This window comes from Homo sapiens, chromosome 16 (assembly GCF_000001405.40).
Source record: "Homo sapiens chromosome 16, GRCh38.p14 Primary Assembly".
In the NCBI taxonomy this organism is placed as follows: Eukaryota; Metazoa; Chordata; class Mammalia; order Primates; family Hominidae; genus Homo; species Homo sapiens.
The window spans coordinates 16,455,287-16,474,089 of NC_000016.10; the positions used below are offsets into that span (position 1 = coordinate 16,455,287).

Genomic DNA, 18,803 nt, shown 5'->3' on the forward strand with positions numbered 1-18,803 from the left:
AGGTTGCAGTGAGCTGAGATCGCGCCATTGCACTTCAGCCTGGGCAGCGAGAGCGAGACTCGGTCTCAAAAAAATAAAAAAATAAAAAAGCCTCTCTTGTGTCCTTGTCCCCAGCCTTCCAGCTCTCCTCTGAGGGAACCAGTTTTCAAGATGGCCCGCAACAATCCCTGCCTGCTGCCATTCACACCTTGTTTAGTCCCCTCCCACGCTGGAAAGATCCATGTTGGGGCTCGTGTGTGACCAATGCCGCAGAAGTGATGTTATGTCACTTCCGCGATTACGTCATGAAAGACTGCAGCTTCCATTGTTGGCTCTTTCTTTCTCTTTCTTGGATCAGTCGCTTTGGAGGAAGCCAGCTGCCATGTTTTGAGGACACTAAGGCACTTTACGGAGAGGCCCACGTGGTGAGGAATTGAGGTTTCTAAGAGCCAGTAAGGAATAGAGACAACCACACAGTGAGCCTGGAAGCCTAGTCTTCAGCCCCAGAAACGCTCAGATGACTGCAGTCCTGGCTGACATCTTACCTGCAGCCTCATTGGAGACCCTAAGCCAGAGCACTTAGCTGAGTTGGCTTGTGGGTTCCAAATCCAGACAATTAGATGATAAATGCTTGTTGTTTTATATTTAGTTTTAGTTTTTGTGACTACATCGTAGGTGTATATATTTATGGGTTACGTGAGATATTATAGGCATGCAATGTGTAATTATCACATCAGGCTAAATGGGGTATCCATCATCTCAAGCGTTTTCCTTTGTGTTACAATCTAATTATTCTCTTTTAGTTATTCTAAAATGTACGATTAAATTGTTTTTGATTATAGTCACCCCATTGTGCTAGCAAATAGTAGGTCTTATTCATTCTTTTTTTTTTTTTTTTTGAGATGGAGTCTTGCTCTGTCGCCCAGGCTGGAGTGCAGTGGTGCGATCTTGGCTCACTGCAACCTCTGCCTCCCAGGTTCCAGGAATTCTCCTGCCTCAGCCTCCTGGGTAGCTGGGACTACAGGCGCCTGTCACCACGCCCGGCTAACTTTTGTATTTTTTAGTAGAGACGGGGTTTCACCATATTGACCGGGCTGGTCTCGAAGTCCTGACCTCGTGATCCACCCACCTTGGCCTCCCAAAGTGTTGGGATTACAGGAGTAAGCCACCGCGCCCGGCCTTATTCATTCTTTCTAACTATTTTTTTGTACTATCATGGTTCACTGCAGCCTCATTTTGACCTCCTGGGCTCAAATTGATCCTCCCACCCCAGCCTCCTGAGTAGCTGGGACTGTATGCACATGCCACCATACCTAGGTAATTTTTAAAGATTCTTTTATAGAGATGGGGTCTTCTTATGTTGCCCAGGCTCGTCTCAAACTCCTGGGCTCAAGTGATCCTCCCGCCTCTGCTTCCCAAAGTGCTGGGATAACAGGCGTGAGCCACTGCACCCAGTCGATGGCGTGTATTAAAAGGAATGATGATATAAATACTGATGACTAACATTTATTGAGTGTTTTTTCCATGTCAGGCATTATATCAAGCACTTTACATGCATATCTCATCAGTAAAACATTTGCATTTTTATTTCTTATCACTAGTAAATCCTTCTCCTCCCAGAAGCATTTAAAAATCCACAAACCATGGCTAACTTCCTGTGAAATGGCTTAGTGGGCAAAAATTCAGAATAAGGGGAGTGTGAGTCCATGTCTCCTTTCCAGAGATGAAGAAGTTTCTCTTTTCTGTGCATGAAGAAGACAATGGGATATGGATGACACTAAACCTTTGAAAGTTCCTGCTAACCTCCAGGTGGAAGGAAAGGGCCCACGGTGATCAATAAATGTGTTTGCTATTTTTTGGGTGAAAGGAAGAGAGCCTGCACCTCTGTTGGGGTAGGTTATCCACGCTGTCTGCCTGGGGTCCAGATTCCTGGCATTGATATGACTTCTTGGCTCTCTTGAGCCCTGAATCTGCTTCAAATTCAGAAAGCCCCAAGACTTCTGGGCTCTATAATTACTCTGGGCTTTGGAGAATGGTTTCTCTTATGAGCAAAACAATGGTGGAAACTTGTACCAATGAAGGAAACACACAAGCGTGTAGAGGAACATTGCTGTTTGCTGATGATGCTGGTGGCTGCTTGGGTGAGAGATAAACTCTCCAAAGAGCGTTGGCCCTTTTGTGGCTGCAGGATCTGGGTGAAAGAGATTCTTGTAGTCTATCCTATCACTAGATACTATCTGTCTTAGTCCATTTTGTGCTGCTATAACAGAATACCACAGACCAGGTAATTTACAATGAATAGAAATTTACTTGGGTCACAGTCCTGGAGGCTGGGAAGTCCGAGGTTGAGAGCTTACATCTGGTGAAGGCCTTCTTGCTGCATCATGGTGTGACCCAAGGCATCACATGGGTGAGAGAGAGGGTGAGAGAGAGCACCTACTCCTGTGAAAACCAGCCCGCTCCCATGATAAAGGCATTAATCCATTCAGAAAGATGATGTCCCCATGATCCAAACACCTCTTGAAGGCCTCACCTCTCAACACGGTTGCATCAGGGATTAAGTTTCCAGCACTTGAACTTTGGGGAACACATGCAAACCATAGCAATATCTGTGCCGGATATTTTGTATTTGCTCCTTTACATCCACTGTCCACCCCCATTTCCTGCTTTGTACCCCAGGAGGCTGACTTCTATGGACTACATCACATGTGGTCTCCCATCCTCTTGTGGCTGCTTGGGTTTGGCCAATGGGGTGGGGATCATAGAATACTAGAAGGTGGGAGGAGAGAGGGATTCGGATATTTATTTCTGTGGCTCCTTCCTGTTGGGTTGCCATAGGTTGGAAGCTCCTGCCAGGCAGCTGTCTTTCCCTGAAGACTGTGGCTACTCTCCTTGGGTTCCATAACTATTTCTCCTCCAGGTCTAGGGGTAGAAATGGCTCCTCACTGCTGCTAGTTAGGGCTACTGCAACCTCCCTTTTTGTTTTTGTTTTTTTTAATCCCACTTATACAGCTATATATAGCCCTTTGCTAAACTCTTTTTAGTTACCCCATTTGAGTTTACTATGTATTTCCTGCCACAACCTTGATTGATACAGCAGCCCAGAGAAGGGAAGCAATTAACTTTCTCACTCCTTTATTCATTCATCCAACCTCCCATCAACACTTACTCTATGCCAGGACTTGTGCTGAGGCTTTTAAGAATGAGACATGATTTCTTGTCTATGTCCCTGAGTTCTCAGTTGTTCACCCCAGAAACTGACTCTTACCAAAGAAAGAGAACATGCCGAAGGCATTGCTGAAGGCCCAGCCTTGGAAAACACCCCATACAAGGTGACTCCAGATAGCTTTATAGCGGCAACTCCTCCAAGGGCATGCGTTAGGGATAGGCTGATCTGGGGACCCCTGCTCTCCCTGCAGAGAATTCATGGAAACCCAATAGGGCCTGTGTTCTTGCATCATGAGTCAAGGTGCCAAGAGAGATCACCTGATTGGCTGATCCAGAGTCACACGGTTGGGGGAGGGTATACAAAGTGGAGGGCTCACCACAGCGGTCAGAGATAAGGCTGCTCCTTGCAGCTCTGTTTTTTGCAATTCCTCTTGGACCCTCCCCAGTTCGGCCACCACCCTTGAGGCTAGCAAGGGTGAGTTGTGTCAGAAGCATTCCATGCAAGGAAATAACAACTTGGAATCCAAATATATTCATTAGTAAGTAATGGAAACCTGAAATTGCTTAAACAAGATGGGACATTATTCTCTCACATTAAAAGGAATTTGGGGGTAGGTGAGTCTAGGGTTGGTTTATTCAGTAGTTCAGTTGTATCATCAAAGACCTGGGCTCTTGCCATCTTTGTGCTCTGACTTACAGAGCAAGGGCTTAATTCCAGTCTTTTCCTCTAATGAGCACAAAATGGGTGCCACAGTGCCTTACATCACATCCTAACACAATAACGTTCAATGTCCAAAGGTCAGAGGAGAAAATGTGTCTTCCTTGTGTCCATTGTTGACAGCAAGGAGGAAATTTCCATCAACTCTCATTGGTCACAATGGGTCACGTGCCTATTCGAAAGCAATCACTAGACAGGGGGTCAGTATTACTATGATTAGTTTAGGTCAGTCAAGATTCACTCCTTGAGGCTCAGAAGGGCAACTTCTCCTAAAGCATGTGACTGTTCAATACTTTAAAAATTGGGGTTCTCTTAGCAACGGAGAAGAGAGGCTCTTTTTTTGACAAGCAATCGTAGCATCTATCAAAGCATAAGAAAAGCTTGTGAGTGATGAGGTTGGAGACTGAGAAGGTTCCAGAACATGACATTCTGGTGAAGTAGGCAGGACCCAGGAATCTCAAAAGTGACCCAATGTCACAGAGTCTGTTGGTGGCAGAGGAATTGAGGCATCTAGAGGCATCTAGGCAGAGTGATTGAGGCATCTCACTTTCTACGCAGAAAAGGAGGCATTTGCTCCACAAAAGCCTCCTGCTAATTCCAGGGACCTTTCGCTGTAGAGACAACTTTATGGCATCAGTGACAACTTTGGCCTCATTGTCCTGACAGAGCCTAGAATGGTGCTATCTTTGGGCTTCATATCTGTGAGGCACTCAGAAATGTATGAAGCATTTCCAAGTCCATGGTCTCATTTGCTCTCCACTTTGCAGTGGGGAAACTGAGGTTCAGACAGGTGAAGAGACCCGATCAAGGTCACATAGCTGGAGAGCAGGAAACACTGAGCTCAACCCCAGATATTTTAACCAAAGGTTTTAGTTCTCTGCCTTCCTGCCTTCTAGATAACTCCATACAGTCTGCAGGGTAGATCCTCAATCATGATGTATGAAAAGCGTGAATGAATGCAAAAAAAAAAAAAAAAGGTTTAAAAAAGCTGTGCAAGCTGGGCACAGTGGCTCACACCTGTAATCTCAGCAATTTGGGAGGCCAAGGTGGGAGAATGTCTTGAGGCCAGGAGTTTGAGACTAGCCTGGGCAACATAGTGAGACTCCTTTTCTATAAAAAATTTAAAAATTAGCTGGGTATGGTGGTGTGCATCTGTAGTCCCAGCTACTTGGAAGGCCTAGGTGGGAGGATCACTTGAGCCCAGGAGTTCAAGACCAGCCTGAGCAACCTAGGGAGAGCCCGTCTCTACAAAAACTAATATAAATTAGCAAGGTGTGGAAGTGCATTTCTGTAATCCCATCTACTTGGGAGGCTGAGGTGGGAGGATTGCTTGGGCACAGGAGGTCGAGGCTGCAGTGAGCTGTGATCACACAACTGCACTTCCAGCCTGGGTGACAGAGTGAGACCCTGTCTCAAAAAATAAAAAAGTTGTGCAAAGATAAAAACCCAGTTATGACTCCCATTGTGGACCCATAAATAAAGCAAAGTTATCAAATAGAGATGTGTGAGCTGCTGAATGGAACAGAACTCACTGGGTTTATGGGGCTGTGTCAGGCACCTCTGACAATGCCAGATATTTACTTTGCAGATGAATGACTTCATTGCTTGCCCCAAATGCATCACTGGTGGGTAATATTTATGCAGATTGGAAGCATTCTCCCTCCTTTATATGGTCCTGGGCTGTTTGTAACCATTGGATTTTTTTACCTTTTGACTTGACGTTGTTCTTCACGGGACCGTGGTATGGGATGCATTTCAATAAACAATACCAAAGGACAGATTTCGGCTTTAAATAAAATTGTGTTCCGTAAAGTGGGAGACAAAGGCTTATAACTCACTGTCGGCTGCAGACATTTTGGCAAAAATTATCTTTCAGGCTTTGATCTCCACTGTATCATTTTACTGAGTGGCCCCATGTGCTCTATCAATCAAACCCACTGAAGATGCAGGAGAATCACATTTAAAATCAAATACAAATTGTAGATTCATCTGCCCAGGAGGAAGAGAAATGTGTCATGAATCCTGCCTTCAGTCTTCTATGATTACAACGGAATTAGTTTTTGAAAACTCCAGAGGATGGTTTTCCACTTCCCAACTTTCATATTATTATTATTATTTTTGAAGGGGGTAACATTAGATGGGTAGAGAGGTAGACTAAAGTGATTCAGCTGTGAGATCGGAGTCTCGCCTTCCATCTAACTGTAGGTTAGGGCCTTTTAATATTCCTCTGACAGAGATTCTTTATGTAGGAAGGGATGTTAAGAAGAAAGATGTTCTCTAACAAGAAAACATTTAGACAAAGAGGATATGACCTCCCTCACTCAATCTCGCCTGCTTTCTTGGCATACATGGGAAGAGAGGATGAACTAGAAAGGAAATATTATTTGCTGATCTCCTTTCTTTGTCTGAGGCACATTGCACAGGATGTCTCATTTGATATTCACATGCCCATGTGAGGTGAACAATCCACACCATGCTTTACAGAAGGGGAAACTGAGGTCAAGAAACATGCTCATGGGCCGGGCGCGGTGGCTCACACTTGTAATCCCAGCACTTTGGGAGGCTGAGGTGGGCGGATCATGAGGTACAGCATTCGAGACCAGCCTGGCCAACATGGTGAAACCCTGTCTCTACTAAAAATACAAACATTAGGCCAGGTGTGGTGGCATGCACCTGTAATCCCAGTTACTCGGGAAGCTGAGACAGGAGAATCGAATGAACCCGGAAGGCAGGAGGTTGCAGTGAGCTGAGATTGCACCATTGCACTCCAGCCTGGGCAAAAAGAGCGAAACTCCATCTCAAAAAAAAAAAAAAAAGAAAGAAAAACAAATATTAGCCGAACATCGTGGCACGTGCCTGTAATCCCAGCTACTCAGGAAGCTGAGGTAGGAGAATCGCTTGACCTCACGAGGTGGAGGTTGCAGTCAGCCAAGATTGTGCCACTGCACTCCAACCTGGGTGACAGAGCAAGGCTCTGTGTCAACAAAAAAAAAAAAAAAAAAGAAAAAGAGAAAAGAAACATGCTTATGGCTGAAGAGCTGAGCCCAAGTCTATGTGATTCTGAATAACATGCTTTTAATTTAATTAATTAATTAATTTACTTATTTATTTATTTGAGACAGGGTCTCACTCTGTCTCCCAGGCTGCAGTGCCATTGCACCATCATGGCTTGGCTCACTGCAGCCTTGACCTCCTGGGCTCAAGTGATCCTCCCACCTCAGCCTCCCAACTACCTGGGACTACAGGCACACACTGCCATGCTCAACTAATTTTTTTTTTTGTTTTTTTGCATTTTTTGAGGAGACGGGGTCTTACTATGTTGCCTAGGCTGGTCTTGGACTCCTGCATTCAATTGACCCTCCTGCCGCGACCTCCCAAAGTACTGGGATTATAGGCTTTAGCCACTGTGCCCAGCCTAAAACTTTTGAGAAAGAATGCTTCTTGTTGATTGTCTCCCCTCTCTATTACCTTAGTGTCTGGCATATAGTAGGTGCTTGAAAGCACTTGTTTAGTGCCTAAGCCAGGGGCTGACAACCTTACTGTAAAGGCCCAGATAGTGGATTATTTGAGGCTTTGGGGGCCATGTGCTCTCTTGCAACCATGCAACCCTGCCGTTGTAGTGCAAAAGCAGCCACAGACAATACTTTATTTATAAACTCTGAAATTGGAATTTCATATAATTGTCATGTAATGACGTATTATTCCTTTTGTCTTTTTCCCACTAACTATTTAAAATGTAAGAACTAGCTGGGCGCAGTGGCTCATGCCTGTAATCCCAGTACTTTGGGAGGCCGAGGTGGGCGGATGACCTGAGGTCAGGAGTTCGAGACCAGCCTGGACAACATGGTAAAGCCCTGTCTCTACTAAAAATACAAAAATTAGCTGGGTGTGGTGGCAGGTGCCTGTAATTCCAGCTACTCAGGAGGCTGAGGCAGTAGAATCGCTTGAACCTGGCAGGCAGATGTTGCAGTGAGCTGAGATGGTGCCACTGCACTCCAGCCTGGGCGACAGAGCGAGACTCCATCTCAAAATAATAATAATAATAATAATAATAATAATATAAAATGTAAGAACCATTCTTTCTTAGCTTTCAGGCCATAGGAAAACAGGCAGCTCGGATTTGGCCTTCAGGCTGTATTTTGCAGATTCCTGGTCTAAATAATTACCTTAATTATCACAGTAGCAGATACTAGCAGATACTAAGAACTAGTGTATCTCCAAAGTCTAGTTTGGTGCCCGGTACAAACATTCTTTCCCCAAGGTGGAGTCCACTTGACCAGAGTGGAGAGTTACAGTGCTGGGGAAGAGTTGGAAGACATCGCTGCCTGGGGGTGGGGGAAGGGCAGAGAAATCTCTTGGGGTTTGTTCTGGGGAAACTGGGAATTGTGGGAGAACTGAGGAGGCGGGAAAGGGGACTTTAAGAATATTATTGTGGGCCAGGCGTGGTGGCTCACGCCTGTAATCCCAGCACTTTGGAGGCTGAGGCGGGCAGATCACGAGGTCAGTAGATCGAGACCATCCTGGCTAACACAGTGAAACCCCGTCTCTACTAAAAATACAAAAAAGTAGCCGGCCATGGTGGCGGATGCCTGTAGTCCCAGCTACTCGGGAGGCTGAGGCAGGAGAATGGCGTGAACCTGGGAGGCGGAGCTTGCAGTGAGCTGAGGTCGCACCACTGCACTCCAGCCCGGGCGACAGCGAGACTCTGTCTCAAAAAAAAAAAAAAGAGTATTATTGCAGGTTAGGAATTGGACCTTTTATTACAGAGGTTCTCACTGGGGACTGAATTGTCCCATGTGTGTGTGTTTGTGTGTGTGTGTGTGTTTGTGTGTGTGTGTGTGTGTCTGTGTGTGTGTGTGTGTTTGTGTGTGTGTGTTTGTGTGTGTGTGTGTTTGTGTGTGTGTGTGTGTGTGTGTTTGTGTGTGTGTGTTTTAAATCTGCAGAGAGCTTTTGGTTGCCCTAATGATAGGGATGGGGGAGTCATTACGGTGTGGGGTAGTTTTTTGAATATATATATGTGTAGATCCCAAATTCATATGGGTTAGAAGAACCATGATTATCAGAGTCTATAACCTTGTTCTATTTTTTTTTTTTTTTTTGAAACAGAGTCTCACTCTGTCACCCAGGCTGGAGTGCAGTGGTGCCATCTCGGCTCACTGCAACCTCTGCCTCCCCGGTTCCAGCGATTCTCCTGCCTCAGCCTCCCGAGTAGCTGGGACTACAGGCGGGTACTACCACGTCCAGCTAATTTTTGTATTTTTAGTAGAGACGGAGTTTCACCCTGTTGGCCAGGATGGTCTTGCTCTCTTGATCTTGTGATCGGCCCACCTCGGCCTCCCAAAGTGCTAGGATTACAGGTGTGAGCCACCACGCCCGGTCCAACCTTCTTCTATTTTATCTGCCTATTCTATTTTATATGTTTACATGTTCTATTTTACATGTAAGTGTTGAATGAACACTGATGTTTCCAAGAATGTAGCAGCTATGGTGTAAATCAAGAGAAGATTTGACTCTGTTTGGTATGGGAATTTATCAAGAAAGAGCCACTCTTTTGAAGAACATGGCACTCTCAGTAAAGCCGATGCGACAACACACCACGCTGTCTGCGTTTGTGACTGTCACTGGTTATTCTACACACACGTGTGTGAGCACTTGACTGCTTCGCTCCGTCTTTCCTGGTGGAAACCCAAATCATTTCTCTATATATTATTTCATTAGAAATCCTCATCATTTCATTTCTCCTTTTTATTATAATTAGGGCACAATTGTGATTGGTTAGAAGAGTAGATGGGTTATAGGATCAGCACATTTTTTTTTTTTCAGGGTAGAAAAGAGAGCTTTTCAGCTGGGCATGGTGGCTCACGCCTATAATCCCAGCACTTTGGGAGGCTGAGGCTGGTGGATCATTTGAGGTCAGGAGTTCGAGACCAGCCTGGCCAACATGGTGAAACCCTGTCTCTACCAAAAATACAAAAAAAACAATGTACCGGGCATGGTGGCACGCATCTGTAATCCCAGCTACTCGGGAGGCTGAGGCACGAGAATCGCTTGAACTCAGGAGGTGGAGGTTGCAATGAGCCAAGATCCCACCACTGCCCTCCAGCCTGGACTATAGAGTGAGACCCTGTCTCAAAAAAAAAAGAGGGCTTTTCAATTGGTTGGTTAAAACATGGGACATTGGATCTGATGGCACCAAGAATGCCTGCCCTGTAACACTGTTTGAGCTGATGTGTGGGGAACTGCTTTTGGATTACTTATGGGTTGCTGAAATATACTTCTTTGAATGCAGAGATTGGGCCCCTGATTATATTTGGGAGGCAAAACCATCACCTTGTAGGCACCTGGCAGGGTAAAATAAATGGATGCTTCTTAGAGGCCAACTGCTCTCTCACTTCCTGTTTCCGTTTTGTTTGCAGCGTAAAGCCAGATGCCTTTTATCTCTTGTATCAGTGCTGGTTGTCTGAGAATTTTTTTTTTTTTTTTTGGACAGAGTCTCGCTCTGTCACCCAGGCTGGAGTGCAGTGGCGCAGTCTTGGCTCACCGCAACCTCTGCCTCTTGGGTTCAAGTGATTCTCCTGCCTCAGCCTCCCAAGTAGCTGGGATTACAGGTGTCCACCACCATGTTCAGCTAATTTTTGTGTTTTTAGTAGAGATGGGATTTCACCATGTTGGCCTGGCTGGTCTCAAACTCCCGACCTCAGGTGATTCACCTGTCTTGGCCTCCCAAAGAGCTGGGATTACAGGTGTGCACCACCACACCCAGCTAATTTTTGTATTTTTAGTAGAGATGAGGTTTCACCATGTTGTCCAGGCTGGTCTTGAACTCCTGATCTCAAATGATCTGCCTGCCTCAGCTTCCCAAAGTGCTGAGATTACAGGCATGAGCCACCATGCCTGGCCTGGGCAGAGTTTTTAAAAATGCTTCAAACTCTCCTTTAGCTCAGTTTCGGTAGAGTCATTCCTTTACAGTATAGTTACAGTGGAGCTGCCAATCAGCTCAGGCCACACCCAGCCCACAGTCTCAGAGGGGCTGGGTCCCTGCTCTTTCTCTCTCCCTGAAAAGTGGCTGTTAATTTTCTCCTTTAGTCTCCTTTCCCCAGAAAGATATTTCCCTTTACCTTATGGGAGTTTGATAAAACTGGCATCTCCAGCCTTCTTTTCCTTATGTTGGTTTTTCTGCCACAAAAGGCCCAGAGACATTGTCTATGGAACGTTTGGCTGCAGCTGGGCAGGTGTTTTATTCTATTGGAAAATTCCACTAGGATTTTCTATGATTACAATAGAGCATGGGTCCTCAGTCAAACCCTCCACCACTTATAAGAAGCTCTGTGACTTTGGGGAAGTGACTTAACCTCTCTGAGCCTCACTTTTTCTATTTGGAAAGAGTGATGGGTTGGTAGGTTTTATGTGTTAACTCTTAGGGATACAGGGTGCACAGCTATTTGCCTAAACATCATTTTGGGTGTGTTCGTGAGGGCGTTTTGGGATGACTGTCATTTAAATTGGCAGATTGAGGGAAGCAGTTGCCCCTCCTAATGTGGGTGGACTTCATCCAATCCACGGAAGACCTGAATAGAGCAAAAGTCGGTCCTTTCCGAAGTAAGAGAGAATTCCTCCTGCCTGAAGGTTTTTAAACTGCACCATTGGCTTTTTTCTGCCTTTGTACTCAGACTGAAACACTGCTCTTTCCGGGTTTCGAGCCTGCTGGCCTTAGGACTGGAACTAACACCATCAGTTCTCTGGGGTCTCCAGTTTGCTGCCTCGCCCTGCAGATGACAGCACTTGTTAGCCTCCATAATTGCGTGAAATCTCTTTCTCTGTTTAGACATTGGTTCTGTTTCTCTGGAAAACCCCAGTCAATACAGGCGGTGATCATATTTTGAGGATTAAATGATACAATGAATAGAATATGCTTAACACACAGTGAGTGCTTGGCACATATGATCTCCTCAATACACATCAGCTTTATCATGGAAATTATTATGTATCATTATACAAAATATAATAAGATTTCAAACTTGTGTTCTCTTACATGTCCTCTAAATTATTCAATGGAACAAAAAACTCTTCACTCATTTTTGTGTGTATGCAAACTTAATGTCTTTCAATAAATTTTCCAAGTTATTGTATGTTCGCAAGGACATAATTCTGTTTGACTTCCCATCTTTCCAATACTAGTAGTGAGCCTCATTAGCACATGAATGCTGGTGTCTGTGAGATGTGCTTGCCTTCACTGTCCTGTTTGCCTTGCCCAAGGTGGGCGATGGAAAGGACAAGCCATCTATTATTGGTTGGAGGAAGGACCAACCATCTACTGTGGCAGTCTGCTCAGGCTGCCATACAAAATACCACATACTACGTGGCTTAAACAGGAGACATTTATTGTTCACTATTCTGGGGGCTGGGAATTCGAAGATCAAGGTGCTGGGTGATTTGTTTCTCCAGTGAGGGCCCTCTTTGTGGCTTTCAGTTGGAAGCCTTCTTGTTGTATCCTCACAGGGGAGAGAGAGAGCACGCAAGCATGAGAGAGTGCAAGAGAGAGAGGGAGAGATCAAGCAAGAGTGAGAGACAGAGAAAGACATCTCTGGTGTCTCTTCTAATATGGACACATCACATCTCCAGGACCTTAGGCTTATGATCTCATCTAAACATAATCACCAAAGCCGCATCTTCAAATACCCAAATACCGTAACACTGGTAATTAGGGTGTCAGCTTCGACATATCAGTTTGGGGGTGGAGGCACAAACGTTCATTTCATAGCACTTCCTTTTCCAAAAATGCTCCTTAATCCCTCCCTGCCATCCTTGCTATTCTCATTTGACAGATGAGGAAATTAAGACTCCACGATGTGCCTTAGGTTGCCCATAGCTGTACATCTTATAAGTGCGAGCTCCCCAGATAATTGCATTCATCCACAAGAGCAGAGTTAACCACAGCATCATAGCCATCCAGGGAGCATAATGCCCCGTTAAAAATAACAAAGCGTAGAGACCCAGCCTGAACTGAAGATGTGTCTGTGGTTGGGGTTCAGGGTTCTTTGATTTCCAGATCTACCACCCAGATATTTGTCAAGTTACATCTACCTCTGGTGCTCATTTCCATATCTCTAAAACAGAAATAATAACTGAGAGGATTTTGTGGCGTCATGCAGATGAAGTGGCTCTCAAGAGCCTGACTTAGTAAACGTTGGCTGCGTGTTGGGCATTATTAGCTAAGATGTATAAACAGCAGAGGTTTGGTTTGTATGAGTAGATCATATTCCTGCCTGTTGTCACTGAGGGAGAGCAGAGTCCTAAGGGGAGGGGACACAGGTCAGGAGAATTCTAGGGGGTGGGGGATGTTTCTGATTTCTCAACAATGGGTAAATCTGGGAATCTCATGAGAGCTTCAGTGGGTAAATCTTGGAATCTCGTGAGCAAAATGTGGACGTGAAGAAGGAAGAAAAGCTGCTTGGAGGATTGGTGAAGGAGGAGGGAAAGGGAAAAATAAAAGGAAAAAAACATTTAGGTGGTGCTAAGTGCCACACATTTTCCGTTTTTGCATCAGTGAATTGTAAAATCACACTGCAAGGCTGGGGATATTATCCCCATTTTACAGATGAGAGAGAGGAGGCTGGGCAAGTTAATGAACTGGTTCAAAGTATCACAGCTAGAGAGTTGGAGCCAAAGTGAGATCGCACAGCTACGCAGACTCTAAAGCCCTTGTCTGTATATTGAATCAAATTTCCCCTTTTTCTGGCTTAGGTAAACTGAGGCAGGAAGTGATGAGAAAGGGTTAAGAGACGTCGGCTGCTCCTTAAACATCTCCCTTCCCAGTGTCATTTGCCATCCATAAACTCTTTCAAAATGTGATAATGGTTTTGATTTTCCTGTCATCTCGATTTGATATGAGAAATTTGGGATTTCCAAATTGACAGAAAACTCGATTTTAAAGATGCTGGAAGGCAAACATCTGTGAAAAATCACAGGAATAATGTCAACATCTGTCCCTGTGAAAGGAAATTGCTGAGGTTCTCAATTTACAGCCAATCAATCAATCTTGGAGGCCAGGGTGCTTGCAAATTGAAATGCATGTTGAAGCTATAGGGATGGCTAATTAATTTAGTTTGTATGCCTATAAGATTTTTCATTGTTTCCAGTTAAAAAAAAATTCTCTTTTGAATAGAAAACGTGTGCATATGGTAAAAAAAAAAAAAAAATTAAACAGTACCAGAAAAAGTATACAGTGAAAATTAAGTTTGTTTTCCATCCCAACCACCAGTTCTTCTTCTCCAAGGTCACAAGTGTTGCTGGCTTCTCTTGAAAGTTTCCAGAGATACAATCTTTATATAGAAAAACATATGTATATATGTCTCCTCCCGGTTTTATAAATGATAGCCCATTGTACATATTACACTGCATCTTGACTTCATTCAACAATATATCTTTGAGGTTTTTGCATAGCAGTCCATATAGACATTCCTTATTCTTTTTATCAGCTGTGTAGTATTCCAGTATACGGATGTGTATAAATTAATCAGTTCCCTCATGGTGGACATTCAGGATATTTTCTGTCATTCTCCACAATTTATGCTAGTATGTCCATCTTGGTGTGTGTTCATCAGTAGGATACAAATCTAGAGGTGAGCCTCCTGGGCAGATGGGATGTGCATTTAAAGTATGATGCCTTCATGTAAAGGGAAGGTTTTCTTTTCTTTTTTCTTATTTTATTAAGAGACGGGGGTCTCACGATGTTGCCCAGGCTGGTCTTGAACTCCTGGGCTCTAGCAATCCTCCTGCCTCAGCCTTCCAAAATGCTGGGATTACAGACGTGGGCCACCGTGCCTGGCCAGGTTTTCTTTGTTATCTTGGAGGGAGCATCACCCCCGTCAAGGAGATCAGATTGGTGAAGGTGGGATGCTGTGTCTGAGAGCTTAATGACTGTTCACAGATATTGTGGCTGCCCTTCTCTAATGTACCTGCTTCTTCAGGCCCAAAAGGTGGAAATGATGTTTGTTTCTTACTTCTTTGGGGCTTTGACTGTGCCATTGAGATTTTGTGCTCAGGGATAAACTACCGTGTATTTACAGTTACCTCAACCTGTGAGGTTTGATGCCTCTTTCTTTCTTTCTTTCTTTCTTTCTTTCTTTCTTTCTTTCTTTCTTTCTTTCTTTCTTTCTTTCTTTTTCTTTCTGTCTCTTTCTTTCTTTCTTTCTTTCTTTCTTTCTTTCTTTCTTTCTTTCTTTCTTCCTTCCTTCCTTTCTTTCTTTCTTCTTTCTTTTTTCCTTCTTCTTTCTCTTTCTTTCCTCTTTCTCTCTCTCTTTCCCTCCCTCCCTTCCTTCCTTCCTCCATCCCTCCCTTCCTTTCTTGCTTTTTTTTTTTCTTGCTTTGTTACCCAGGCTGGAGTGCAGTGGCATGATCATAGCTCACTGCAGCCTTGAACTTCTGGGCTCAAGCAATCTTCCTGCCTTGGCCACCCTGGGATTACAGGTGTGAACCGTGGCGCCCAGCCTTGGCCACTTTCTTTATTCTAAACTTCTTTGTTCCATACTTTGCTTCTTTTCCCTGGATCCATCCCCACCAGCCTCCCTTGTCACTCCAGTGATAGGACACTCAGTCTTGCCAAGTCAATGTAAACCCAGACCCTTCTCATTTAAAACCTAGTCTCTTTGGTAAACAGTCAATTCAGGATTCTCACATCAATCTGAGTTTTAAATCTTAATTAGTTGAAAGATTTTCATATCTTTATCTTTCCACTTTGGTCACTGGCTTCGCTGTGGGTGCTGCACCACTCAGACCTCTGTGCAGGACCACCGAGGCCCTCTGTCCCCCCAGCTGCTGGGAGACCTGGCTGCTAACAGCTCATAGCAAAGTCCTGCCTCTGGCAAGAAGGCACCTGTAGGAAGCCACCTAGTGCTGGGAAATCCTCCTCCCCTCCTAGGCATCCCATAATCCTGGAGGGTTACAAAGGCTCTGTCCCTTGCCCCTCTGTATGGGAGTGTATTAGTCAGCGTTCTCTAGAGGGACAGAACTAATAGTATAGATGTATATAAAAAGCAGAGTTTATTAAGGAGTATTGACTCACACGATCACCAGGTGAGGTCTCACAATAGGCCATCTCCAAGCTGAGGAGCAAGGAAGCCAGTCCAAATCCCAAAGCCTCAAAAGTAGGGACGCTAACAGTGCAGCCTTCAGTCTGTGGTCAAAGGTCCAAGAGTCCCAAAGCTGAAGAACTCAGAGTCCGACGTTCGAGGGCAGGAAGCATCCAGCACGAGAGAAAGATGAAGGCTGGAAGACTCAGCCAGTCAAGCCCTTCCATGCTGCTCTGCCTGCTTATATTCTAGCTATGCTGGCAGCTGATTAGATGGTGCCCACCCAGATTGAGGGTGGGTCTGCTTTTCCTAGTCCACTGACTCAAATATTAATCTTTTTTGGCAACACCCTCACAGACACATCCAGAAACAATACTTTGTATCCTTCAATCCAATTAAGTTGACACTCAGTATTAACCATCACAGGGGGTGTCTCAGGGGTCCTGGCGACTGTTCCACAGTGCCACTCCCCTCTCTGCCCAATGCTGCTTCCTTGCTTTCCAGCAGGTGCTCCTCCCAGTAAACCCCCTGCACCCAGATCTCCATCCCACAGCTTGTCTCTCTAGAAACCTGACCTATGACAGGCTTATAAACACCACAACAGGGCATGGGTATGGGCCAGGAGAGCTACTCCTCTCATCTGCTGAGGGTCCTACCCCAGGACCCCTGGGGAGGGATGAGGTCCCTGTTGTTCATCTGGGTGATCATCTAACTCCTGATGAGCCCAGGAGTTAGAGACCGGCCTGGGCAACGAAGTGAGACCCCATCTCTCCAAAAAAAAAAAAAAAAGTCAAAAAATTAGCCAGATGTGGTGCATGCCCCCAGCTACTTGGGAGGCTGAGATGGGAGGATAGCATTAGCCCGGGAGGTTGAGGCTGCAGTGAGCTATGATTGCACCACTGCTCTTCATCCTGGGTGGCAGACTGAGACCCTGTCTCAAAAAAGTTGTCATGGTCCTATGACATTTTTTTAGGTCCTATGCAGGGGTGCAGGTGGAGGTGGTTTCTGGTTCTACCTGACTGTCTTCGTTCAGCCTGGTCCATTTGTTGACTCTGCTACCCAGAAGTGAAAGAATATGGCATCTTTCTCATCTCTATATGGTCCCCATGCAGTAAGGAGTTGACTCAGCCGGTCTGGGGAGTTCAAATCCTGCACATTCCAAAGAAAGCTCTGGCCGTTGATTGGCTCCTGGGAGATAACCGCCAAGTCTTTGGAACATTCTGCCTGATAAGAGTGTCTTTGTTTACCTATGGCCTCAGGCTGAGCTAGCTAGTCCATGCTAACAATGCAATTTATGGTGAGTGCCTGTTTTTGTATGTGTCAGTTTGACCTCTAGAGGGGCTGGAGACTGAGTAACAAAAGTCACCCATGCAGGTGCTCCATGCCTGGGTGATGAAATGCTGATAAAACCCCTGGACACCAAGGCTTGGGGGAGCTGCTGTGGCTGGCAGTACTTTGTATACATTGCTAATTGTCTCTTATAGCTTGGCTGTGTCCCCACCCAAATCTCATCTTGAATTGTAGCCCCCACAATTCCTACGTGTTGTGAGAGGGACCCAGTGGGAAGTAATTGAATCACAGGAGTGGTTTCCCCCATACTGTTTTCATGGCAGTGAATAAGTCTCACAAGATCTGATGGTTTTATAAGGAGAACCCCTTTCACTTGGCTCTCATTCTCTCTTTGCCAGCCGCCATGTAAGACATCCCTTTGCTCTCCCTTGCTCTTCTGCCATGATTGTGAGGCCTCCCTAGACACGTGGAACTGCGAGTCCATTAAACCTCTTTTTTTTTTTCATAAATTACCCAGTCTCGGGTGTGTCTTTATCAGCAGCATGAAAACAGACTAATACAGAGCATTAGGAGCTATCCTTCTAACTCCACTGGGAGAAAACTACTGGAAACTTACCCCTGGTCTCTCTTGGAGAGACCTATGCATCTTGTACCTTGGTTGATTTTAATCTGTATCCTTTTAGTGCAATAAACAATGTTCATGGGGACAATGGCTTTCCTGATTCTGTGGGTCCTTCTGGCAAATCAATGGGCCTGAGGGTGGTCTTGGAGATCCCTGACAAAAGTCACTGTAGCCAGGGACCATCTTCTGTTGAGCTTATTTCAGAGGAAGATGTCATAGGTAACGGGCGTTGGGGGCACCCTGGTTCCATTTGTTGACTCTGCTACCCAGAAGTGAAAGAATGTCGCATCTTTCTCATCTCTGTATGGTCCCCTGCAGTAAAGAGTTGACTCAGGAGGTCTGGGGAGTTCAAATCCTGCACATTCCTAAGAAAGGTCTGGCCCTTCACTGGCTCCTGGAAGATAACCACTAAGTCTTTGCAGCATTGTGCCTGATAAGGGTGTCTTTATTTGCCTTTGTTCTAGTTCTTGTTCTAGGTGCTGGTGATAGAACTGTGAACCAAAGGTCATTGCCTTCAAGGAGTTTATATTCAAGTGGAGAAGATGGAAAACCCTCCCCTCACAAACAAACAGACTCTGAAACCTGATAAATAAATATTAGCATTCAGTGAAGTGTTAATGAGTTTCTGTGAGCACATACAATCCTTAGCAGAGTTTATCTCATCCTGCCTGAGCTAGCCCCTGCCTCCCTCCCCAGCCCACATATTTTGCCACACCCTTTTCATTCCTCCCAACATTCCAATTCCTTCAACACATGGAACTCCTTCTCACCCCAGGGCCTTTGCACATGTTACTATCTCTGTATAAATGCATTCCTCTCACTTGACACCTGGATAACTCCTCATTGTCCTAGTCTTAGCTTAAATGTCATCATCTGGCCAGGCCTGATGGCTGACACCTGTAATCCCAGCACTTTGGGAGGCGGAGGTGGGAGGTTCGCTTGAGCCCAGGAGTTA

The 18,803-nt window shown here is 45.2% G+C and overlaps 1 long non-coding RNA gene across 1 annotated transcript; it reads left to right on the forward strand.

Annotated features, from left to right (window-relative positions):
* The first annotated feature begins 330 nt into the window (after positions 1–330).
* On the forward strand, positions 331–18,394 carry LOC105371105 (uncharacterized). Its single transcript, XR_933139.2, has 3 exons — positions 331–404; positions 1,581–1,871; positions 18,313–18,394. It is a non-coding gene; the product is annotated as an uncharacterized LOC105371105 (long non-coding RNA).
* The last annotated feature ends 409 nt before the right edge of the window (positions 18,395–18,803 follow it).